General features: G+C 43.2%; 1 protein-coding gene across 6 annotated transcripts in view; it reads left to right on the top strand.

Moving 5' to 3' along the window:
- Nucleotides 1-10,991, top strand: part of PRKN (parkin RBR E3 ubiquitin protein ligase) — a 1,380,350-nt gene that overhangs the window by 1,293,509 nt on the left and 75,850 nt on the right. The window lies entirely within an intron of this gene.

Genomic DNA, 10,991 nt, shown 5'->3' with positions numbered 1-10,991 from the left:
CAAGAGCATACTGGCAAAATCTCTTGAGTAAAATAGCAAGTGAATAGAATGCTTACTATTGGAATGGTATGGAGTGGTGGTCTTCAAACTGTTTTCCTAATAATATATTCCCCACATACAAAATTTTGAAAACAATGTACCTCCTCACAAGTGTTTAAGTCCATCATAAAATTTTACCCAGGCTTAAGTAGTAGCAAAAAGTGAAACTCCTGGAGTGTTATAAAAACTGACAATTTTTTTTTAATGGAGTTTCGCTCTTGTCACCCAGGCTGGAATGCAATGGCGTGATCTCAACTCACTGCAACCTCTGCCTCCCGGGTTCAGATAATTCTCCTCTCTCAGCCTCCCGAGTAGCTGGGATTACAGACGTGTGCCACCACGCCTGGCTAATTTTTGTATTTTTAGCAGAGATGGGGTTTCATCATGTTGGCCAGGCGGGTCTTGAACTCCTGACCTCAGGTGATCTGCTTGCCTCGGCCTCCCAAAGTGCTGGGATTACAGGTGACAGCCACAGTGCTCAGCCTAATACTGACAAATATTTTATAAAAGAAGAGAGACAGCAATCTTTTAAATGACAGAAATAGAATCTGTACACCAGAGGGTCCACATCATTCATTTTGTAAACACATGAATGGGCTCTTCTTTATCAAAGGGAGTTTATATCGGGCCTCATACTCCTAGTAGTCCATTTCACTTCTCTTATTCTCTAACATGTGTTTATATTTGAAAATATTTTATTGGTCATCCAGTATATATTTCTGTAATGAAAATATGTACAAAGCCTTTAATTTTTAATTTCTAGAATTAAAAACGAGGTTCTGAGGTTAACATTTTTTCCTACTTGAGTTATTAAAATTAATTATTAGTAGTAAACAGTTAATCCAAACAACAAAAATACATTATAAGTTTTGTTGACTACTTGTTAAACAAAAAGTGAAATGGTAATGGGAACATCCAACTTACTGAGATGCCGCGGACGCATACTGCTTACAGCTGGAATCAGACAGCCCTCAATATGAATTTCTTCCATTTTTCATTTTAATTAATGTAAGCACTAAATAACTTTGTTCATATAAATAGGTACATTGCAATGGAAGAAGTCTTTTAGCAGTATCATTCTATTTTTTAAAAGTCATTTGCAGTTATATGCCAAAATCACATGATAGTCTATCATCAAAACATATTTTTATTTTTCAAAATCTTCAGGAACAAAGAATTAGAAGCAAAAGTATTTTTTGCCCTTTGCCATGAAATTATTGGCACGCTGATTTACCTTTTCAGTTTTTTAGAAGTATGCCATAAAGGTTTTATGAGGATCTTACGAATAACTATTAATTGTACCTTTTATTTTGTGCATTTAGAAACCCTTCATTTAATACATTCAGAAAGAGTTGAAAAAATATTAAATATTGTTATTTTCAATACGCCTTTGCCAGTAAAGCATCTCTTGATAAAATATTTTTGTCATGTGCTTTAAATATATTCTTACCCAAATGGAAGTTGCTGAGTCATTTAATTTATAGAAAAGGTAAAATATTTAACAAACTCAGTCTTCACACCAATAGCTAAAATCAGAGGCTAGGTGCAGTGGCTCATGTCTGTAATCCCAGCACTTTGGGAGGCCGAGGTGGGCAGATTGCTGGAGGTCAGGAGTTAGAGACCAGCCTGGCCAACATGGTGAAACCCCATCTCTACTAAAAATACAAAAAAAAAAAAAAAAAAAAATTAGCTGGGCATGGTGATGGCGGGCGCCTGTAATCCCAGCTACTTGGGAGGCTGAGGCAGGAGAATCGCTTGAACCCGGGAGGCAGAGGTTGCAGTGAGCCAAGATGGCGCCATTAAACTCCAGCCTGGATGACAAGAGTGAGACTTCGTCTCAAAAAAAAAAAAAAAAAAAAAAAATCAGAGGAAGTGAATATTGTTAATGTAAAAATATGCTAACATGTGTTCCAAGGAATATTGTTGGGGGTCACTAAAAAGTAGATATCTATCTTGCAAGATGAGTTATGAAAAACAGTCAGGATCAGAATGACATAGAATATTCATTTAACCATTTCACAAAGTTTAACAAACTAAAATAAATCTATCTGTTCTTGTACTTGATTTGTAATAAAGGAATATTATGTGTTGCTGAAATTACAGTTATTTATGAAGCAAGGATAGCCTGGAGTCCTTTGGTGGGTACACATGTGTGCATGCATTAAAATGCACCCCAGTGTTTGGCATCTGTGAATAATTAAGTAAGAGTCATGTAATAAAGAGAAATAACTTTATTCATGATCAAACATTGTCAAGAAAGTGAAAAGCTTAAACGTAGATATAGCTATAGATAGAAAATATTATTGCCGGATGCAGTGGCTCACGCCTGTAATCCCATCACTTTGGGAGGCTAAGGCGGGTGTGGATTGCCTGAGGTCAGGAGTTTGAGACCAGCCTGGCCAATATGGTGAAACCCTGTCTCTACTAAAAATACAAAAATTAGCGGGGTGTGGTGGCAGGCGCCTGTAATCCCAGCTACTCGGGAGGCTGAGCCAGGAGAATCTCTTGAACCCGGGAGGCGGAGGTTGCAGTGAGCCAAGATCGCGCCATTGCACTCCAGCCTGGGCAATGGAGCAAGACTCCATCTCAAAAAAAAAGAAAAAGAAAAAGAAAAGAAAAGAAAGAAAGAAAGAAAAGAAAATATTCTGACTCAGCAGCTAGCAAACAATTTTAATTTGTTGTTAATAAGAGGTGGAAAATATTAAACACTTTATAATATAAAATATGAGTATTGATTGCACTGGGAATAAACATTTTATGATATGATTTAATAAAACAGGTTTTAACTACCTTGTTAAATAATGTGTACCACATCTAAAAGGAACCACATAAAATGTTTATCTGCTGATTTGATCTAGTATTAAATTTAAAAATTTCGTAGTTCCTAAAAACATTTGTTATGTTTGAAAGACTATTTAATTTATAGAAAAAGCCATTTCTTCAGTGGCTCAAGGTTTATTTCTTTCCAGTTAATGATATACTCTACAAATAAGCATTGAGATTAGCTAATCATAATTGCTCACATTAAATACATGGGAAAACGTAGATTTTAGCAGTCAATATTTCTTTTTTTTTTTTTTGAGACAGAGTCTCGCTCTGTTGCCCAGGCTGAAGTGCAGTGGAGTGATCTCGACTCGTTTCAACCTCCGCCCCCCAGGTTCAAGCAATTCTCCTGTCTCAACCTCCTGAGTAGCTGGGCTTACAGGCATGCACCACTGTGCCGTGCTAATTTTTTTTGTAGTTTTAGTAGAGACAGGGTTTCACCACGTTGGCCAGGCTGGTCTCGAACTTCTGACCTCAGGTGATCCGCCTGCCTTGACCTCCCAAAGTGCTGGGATTACAGGCATGAGCCACCGCACCTGGCCAGCATTCAGTATTTCTTTTTTTTTTTTTTTTTTTTTTTTGAGACGGAGTCTGGCTGTGTTGCCCAGGCTGGAGTGCAGTGGCGCAATCTTGGCTCACTGCAAGCTCCGCCTCCCAGGTTCACGCCATTCTCCTGCCTCAGCCTCCCGAGTAGCTGGGACTACAGGCGCCCGCCACTATGCCGGGCTAATTTTTTGTATTTTTAGTAGAGACAGGGTTTCACTGTGTTAGCCAGGATGGTCTTGATCTCCTGACCTCGTGATCCACCCGCCTCGGCCCCCCAAAGTGCTTGGATTACAGGCGTGAGCCACCACGCCCGGCCCATTCAGTATTTCTTATCCATTCTCTCTGTGTTTGCTCTCACCACATTTTTCCCCAAGAGCAGTGCATTTACTGACAATCCCAAGAGAGAACAGGTTAAGCAATTAAACAGAAGTTGGTGAAAATTGCTATCATTCTGCTGTGGTTTCACTGTTCTCTCCAAAACTCATGTTGAACTTCAATTGTCAGTGTAATAGTGTTAAGAGGTGGGACCTTTAGGCAGTGATTAGGTCCTAAGGACTCTACCCTCATGGATGGATTAATGCCCTGTGTTTCATAACATAGTTACAATAATAATCGTACAGTGAACAGCCTTGGAAGATAGAGATACTGTCTCTTTCCGCAGCAGAGGGGAAGTTTGCTTATAACAAAGACAATGTCTCCCTCTGTTGACAATGGCAGTCCTGCTCACGGCCCATTATAAAAGACTCAGATTCCCTAAAGTCAGGGTCCTCACACCTGTAATGCAACCCATGCCATGTGCAGCTGCCATCTGGTCCATTTCAAACCACCCTGTGAGAACTGGGATTTGAGAAACCAGCACAGGAAAAAAGATATTGCTGTAAATAATGCATGGTCCTTTGTCTCTGACCCAGGAACCTCTGGTCTTCTCCTGGCCTCCGTAAAACTGAGCAGACTAACTTGTTAGCTTGCAAAGAAAGCAAAATCTTGGATCCTTCACAGTTCCTGACAAGAATTAAAATGAAGTCTTCTCTTGGTAGCTACCTGGAGCCATGAATATTTCCAGGTATCCAAGTGGCCATACTCACTTAGGAGTATTCTGAATTACTGAAGAAAAGGCCCATTAATGACTCTGAAACTCACCCTCCTCCCACACACCCTCGGACTGGAACTTCTGGATTCCTCTTTCTTCATTGATCTACTTGTGGCCCAAACCTGAAACCAGCAGCCATCTCCGTGGCCTCCCTGGCCCTCCCGCTTCACATCCAGGTTCTTCTAGTTCCATCTCAGAATGTTTTCTGAGCTCTGGAACTTGCTTCCATTTCCTTCTTCTAGCAACATCCTAGCCATTGCAAGGTCTCAGCTCTGGGGATACCACCCTGCCTCACCACATTCGTGTTATTTCTCCGTCCCTCTTAACCATGGCTCCCCAGGTTGCCTGTTTTCCCACACATAGAGCAATAGCACTTAGGGCACTGCTGTGTTATAATGACCTGTTTACTTGCCCATGACTGACTATAAGCTCCCTGAGGGCAGGAACTTTCTCAATCTTGTTTACCATTGTATTCCACACCTAGCCCAGCACCTAGCATGTCTCAGCACTTGATCAGTATTTGCTGGGTAAATCTATAAATGAATAAATGAGTAAATGAGCAAGAATATATAAATTGTATCTTACATCATATGAAGTGTGATATAGGTGATAGGAGCATTCACTCTGAAGGAAAGGTGAATATCTCAAGGCACAATCAAGGTTAGCAAAGGTGCCATCTGCAGGTGTCCTGTCTAAGAGAAGTTTAGCTTCAGGAACATCTTACGTTATCTCTTGGACATGAGCAAAACTTTCCCCCTTCTTGAACCAGCTGACCTGAGCTGGTCTGCCAGCCTTCCAGTCTTAGGGCAGGAATGTATGCCTGGCCATCAGGAAGAAGGTGGGAGAAACCAGGGACCCCTAGCCATAGGTCAGCACATGATAGAGGCCTGCTTGAAACACTGGCAGGGTGGCCATGTAGGACTTACACAGTCATCTGCCTGCAAAAACATGACTTGAAATACATGAATGCTTGCCCATATATGACAAGATGGAGGTTTTCCAAGGTAGAGGTACTCAGGCAGAAAAATGAAAGAAAAAAAATGTGAATGTGCTTTTTTTGGTTGTGAGCTTTATTATATGTGTGAATTGCTGATTCTTTAGCAAGACAGTAGCAGTTGACAAAGAATCGCCCTTCAGATGTGTGGAAAAACACTCAGAGAACACAGCAAACCGCCAAACAATCAAAGGCAGCCACAATGCCACACACTTAGAGATGCAAGAAGGTGCCACGGCCTTTATGGCTGCTGCCCTGGGCACGGGCATCTGCGATGCCAGCCAGGTTCGAAGATGGACGGAGCAGCCGCCTGTCTCTCCATGAGGCTCGTGTGGACCCTGAAGCTCACAGACTCCGGCGGATGGCAGGCTTCTGTCTGCACTCTCCACCCCAGCAGCCCGTCCTGCCTCCCTCTGCCCCTCTCTGCCAGTCCCAGCAGGAATCTGACACCTTATACCTTCCTCAATATCAGGTAGCAGTCAATGGAAGGAAAAATGCTGGAGTCTTTTGATAAAGGATTGGATTCTTTTAAGCCAGTTATTAATGTATTTCATTCAGAATGTGAGTAGAAGAAAGAAGTTGCCCTATGTTGCCCTGAGATGGAGGCGCACGGCTTTGAGGAAGGCCCCCACAGTGCAAGTGCCAGAAGATGCAGGTGGAAGAGCATCACTCATGCGTGTGAGCTGTGTCCAAATGCCGAGCTCCACGGAGACACACTCAGACTGCAGCGAGCTTCCTTCTGCAACCATGCAAGTGTCACCCTCTGTCGGGACCCTCTGAGCCCATCCCCGCACCAAAGCTTCTCTCCAGTGCTGGAAACCTCTGTTTTCAGGTATATCGACAAGAGTGATTTCAGTCTGGAGTCACGCCTGGAGTCATGACTGATTTGCTTGAGAAGCCAGTGCAAATCGCTGAGCCACAGCATATGGAAATCTGCAGATTGCAAGTGAAACGTGGGATTCATCAAAAGCCTGATTGCGTACTCTTCCATGACACTTGATACATGGGATTATGATGTGACTTTATCTATCTATTTGAATACTTCCAACCTCAGCAAAGGCCTAAATGTAGAACACAGTGGCAGTGAAACAACTCTACCCTCAAGAAATATATACTTTACATCCATGTCACAAAACGTCTTCCAATTGTGTTTCACTTTCACATGTCAGATTTCATGTAATGATTGCTAATTACTAGCAACCCAGACAAGATATAGACTTATGAAATTGCCTCATGAGTTTAGTGATTTTTCAGCAACTGGAAGGAAATAGAAAATCCTTGGGTCAGTTCTACCTGAGTTCTAATCCCAGCTGTGTCTTTTACGAGCTGGTGGGCTTGAGTAAGTTATTCAACTTTTGTGTGCCTCAGTTTCCTCCTCTGAAAAATGTGGATGATAATAGTACCTACCAGTTAGGGTGGCTGTGAGAATTAAAAAAGATGATTCGCATAAAGCACTAGTTTAGGGCCCAATAGTAACATGTAATATCCCAGCATTTTGGGAGGCCAAGGCTTGAGTCCAAGAGTTCAAGACCAGCCTGAGCAACATGGCAAAATCCTGTCTCGTCTAAAAATACAAACAATTAGCTGAGTGTTGTGGTGCATATCAGTAGTCCCAGCTACCAGGGAGGCTGAGGTGGGAGGATTGCTTGAACTGGAGAGGTGGAGGCTGCAGTGAGCTATGATCACGCCACTGCACTCCCACATGGTGGACCAGAGTAAAACCCTGTCTCAAAAATATAAGTAAGTAGGCCAGGAGTAGTGGCTCACGCCTGTAATCCCAGCACTTTGGGAGGCTGAGGTGGGCAGATCACAAGGTCAGGAGATCGAGACCATCCTGGCTAACATGATGAAACCCCATCTCTACTAAAAATACGAAAAAATTAGCCAGGCGTGGTGGCAGGTGCCTGTAGTCCCAGCTACTCGGAAGGCTGAGGCAGGAGAATGGCATGAACCTGGGAGGCAGAGCTTGCAGTGAGCCGAGATTGCGCCACTGCACTCCAGCCTGGGTGACAGAGCGAGACTCTGTCTCAACAAATAAATAAATAAATAACTATATTAGGGTTCTCCAGAGGGACAGAACTAATAGGAGGTGTGTGTGTGTGTGTGTGTGTGTGTGTGTGTAAAGGGGAGTTTATTAAGTAGTATTAACTCACATGATCACAAGGTCCCACAATAGGCCATCTGCAAGCTGAGGAGCTAGGAGAGCCAGTCTGAGTCCCAAGACTGAAGAACTTGGAGTTCGATGTTCAAGGGCCGGAAGCATCCAGCACAGGAGAAAGATGTAGGCTGGGAGGCTAGGCCAGTCTAGTCTTTTCATGTTTTTCTGCCTGCTTTATATTTTAGCTACACTGGCAGCTGATTAGATGGTGTCCACTCAGATTAAGGGTGGGTCTGCCTTCCCCAGCCCACTGACTCAAATGTTAATCTCCTTTGACAACACCCTCACAGACATACCCATGATCAATACTTTGCATCCTTCAGTCCAATCAAGTTGACACTCAGTATTAACCATCACAATAGCATAGAATCATATCCCTGAGGTACTTCAGCACGCCCCTTTGGGTATTCAGGGGCAGTGGGACATCTCATTTTCTCTCTTGCTTTTTACAAATCTCCGTTTTTCTCTCTTCCTCTTTTTGTTTTCCTTTAAATTTGTCACCCCATCACATTTTTTGCTCCTACAACGCTGTACACAGGCACCCCCTTAACCACTTGGGAGGCCATCACTCATCTTTGTTAATTCCCCTGAACATCCAGTGTGGGAACACTCCACTGTCACTCCTGCTCGGTGTTGGAACTGAGGCTGGGTATTAGTCTCTAAAAGGAGGACAGGACAGACCACTGCACTTTTCAGGAATCCTGTGGGCCCAACATGAGCTATTAAAAAAATACCATGTCTTCCAAGGAACAGGGGCACCGTGTGAATATGGGGGGAATTACTGATGTGGCAAGGCGTCTCGTCTATATTATACAACCTACTGTGTTTTACAAAGCACAAAATTTGAGTATTTGGACAAATTCATCTCCTCATAATACTTTACAAACATTTTGACCCAAAAGATACTTAGTTGTAATCTTGACTTCCCCCTGAAGACACCTCTCCAGTGGGTGATGAGGCACCTTTATCATGTCTGACTGGGGAGTAGCCAAGGGGGACTAGTCCTTGATCTGGTGCATCAGAAATGAAAATCTGTGGATTCTGATCTCAAAAGACAAGGACAACTGAGACATTTGAGACCAGCGTTGGACACCAATCGGACCACGGACCTACACCATCTCTCCCTGAAGCTCATTTTGTTGCCTCTGAAATAAGTCAATGGAGACTCTTTCTGAAGGGTTGCTGGTAGACAGGACAAACAAGTACTGTGAACTTTCAGATCAGGATTGCAATGGGTGCAGCGATAACCTTTCAGGAGGTGCATTTTTGATGTGTTGTAAGGCAACGCTGTGAGTAGAGAACCTCAATGCAGTTTGTACTCTTTGCCCACTGCTCTCTAACACGAGTCAGTAGAAAGCTGGTGGGCTGTACAGTTCAATCTAGGAGGGAGTTTCAGCTCTTCCAAGACTAGTGGGGTCAAAGTAGTTATATGAGCCTCTCAGGATGCAGTTTCCTCCTATGTTAAAGTAAGTGTGTGTGAGAGAGAGGAGACAGAGAAAGAGAGTCATGCCTAACTCAGCACATAGGCACTCAATAAACATTGGGTTCTCCACACCAATTCACAGAAACAGAAGACACCTGTAGGCATCACTTACTTAATGTGGGCCTATGAGTACTTTCTTAAGTGTTTCTGAACAAAGAAACTCCCATAGTCTCCCTCGACAGTACAGTCCAACTTTTCAGAGCACATTTAACTAGGAAGTTCTTCCCACATCGTGGCTGCTGTCTCTTAGAATTAAGATGTAAAGACGCTTCACATTGCTGTCACACACCAAAAGCCCTTCCAGGTACTGCAGAATAAGGAACATGCATTCCTAGATGAGTTAATTCCTTTGATACTTTGATTGCTCACAGTGGTTTTGCCTACATCCTCTCCAAATTCTCCACTCCTCCTTTTAGTACAGGGAGTGGCCAAAGAGCTATAATTACACTCTTAAGGACAGTTAGAGGTGTCCTGTGGTTCCTGCTGTTAAAGTAATTAAATGGAAGCCTGCTAGACCAAGGTGGCCCCAATGCCCTGAGTTCCTGTGTCTGCAATCTGAAACCCAACTCAGTGGTCATGTTCTAGGACAATCTGAAACAGCCAGCTAAGCCCTAACTTGGGACTTTCCACTGGGATGAATTCTTTGCCTTGCTTCTGAGTTCACTCCATAAAAGCCTTCCTCTTTGCCCCTTCTGTGGAGCCATGAACCACTTGTGATCCAGAGCTGGCCCACCCATGATTGCTGTTTGCTCAAATCAAAATCAATTCTTTTTTTTTTTTTTTTTTTTGAGACAGAATCTCCCTCTGTCTCCCAGACCAGAGTGCAGTGGTATGATCTCGGCTCACTGCAACCACTGTCTCCTGGGTTCAAGTGATTCTCCTGCCATGGCCTCCCAAGTAGCTGGGATTACAGGCACCCACCATCATGCCTAGCTAATTTTTGTATTTTTAGTAGAGACACGGTTTTGCCATGTTGGCCAGGCTGGCCTTGAACTCCTGGACTCAAATGATCCACCCACCTTGGCCTCCGAAAGTGCTGGGATTACAGACATGAGCCACCATGGCTGGCCTCAAATCAACTCTTTAATATTAATATGCCTCAATTTATCTTCAACACTACATGCCGTACTCCAGTCTCAATACCAGCCTTGTGCTTTGACATTGACCTTCATTGGCCAGTGCTTTTCTTGTCTGTAGACTTTAGAAAATCACCAGAAACCTAATAGTAAAGATCATATTCATTCATTTAACTGATCTGTGTTCAGCACTGCCTGTAAACTGGGCACTGTTCTGTCAATTCATACACAATGATGAGACCTAGGCAGAGTCCCCTCCCTCTTCTAGACAAATGGTGGAGAAAGATGATAGTGGTTGTGTGTAGCCTATGAGACCAGGAACAAGAGCAGTGGAAGGGACTGGTGGGACAATGAGCCATGGTAAGGCCCTGCTGTAGCTAGAGTGTGCAGAGGAAGCTTCCAGAAAGAGGCAGCTTTAAACAGACCAGCCAATTTTATGAATTCCAGCTTGGGATTGACAAGTCATCTAAATCTGTAAATGTCTTGCTTGTCATTGGCCCCAAATCAAGGAATTTTAAGATGTCCTTTGTCATCCACATTCCAGAGCTTGACAAACACTGCCTATGCCCCTGTTCAAATGTGTGTTCTTCATGCATGAATACGTGCAGAAGGTTCCCCCATAAAATTCAGGTGGTTACGACGTGTAACTGCATCGCAGTACTCACCTCCGAATTATTTACATGTAAGCTGCAAGTTACACAGCGTGTCTCAGCTGCTATCCGTTTGCATGTAGACACCTCTATGTACATTAGAAAGCAGAGAGAGCATGACAACCCTTCAGA

The sequence above is a fragment of the Homo sapiens genome, chromosome 6 (assembly GCF_000001405.40).
Source record: "Homo sapiens chromosome 6, GRCh38.p14 Primary Assembly".
Lineage (NCBI taxonomy): Eukaryota > Metazoa > Chordata > Mammalia > Primates > Hominidae > Homo > Homo sapiens.
Note: the sequence above shows the minus strand (reverse complement) of the source record. Positions and strands in the feature narration are given on the sequence as shown.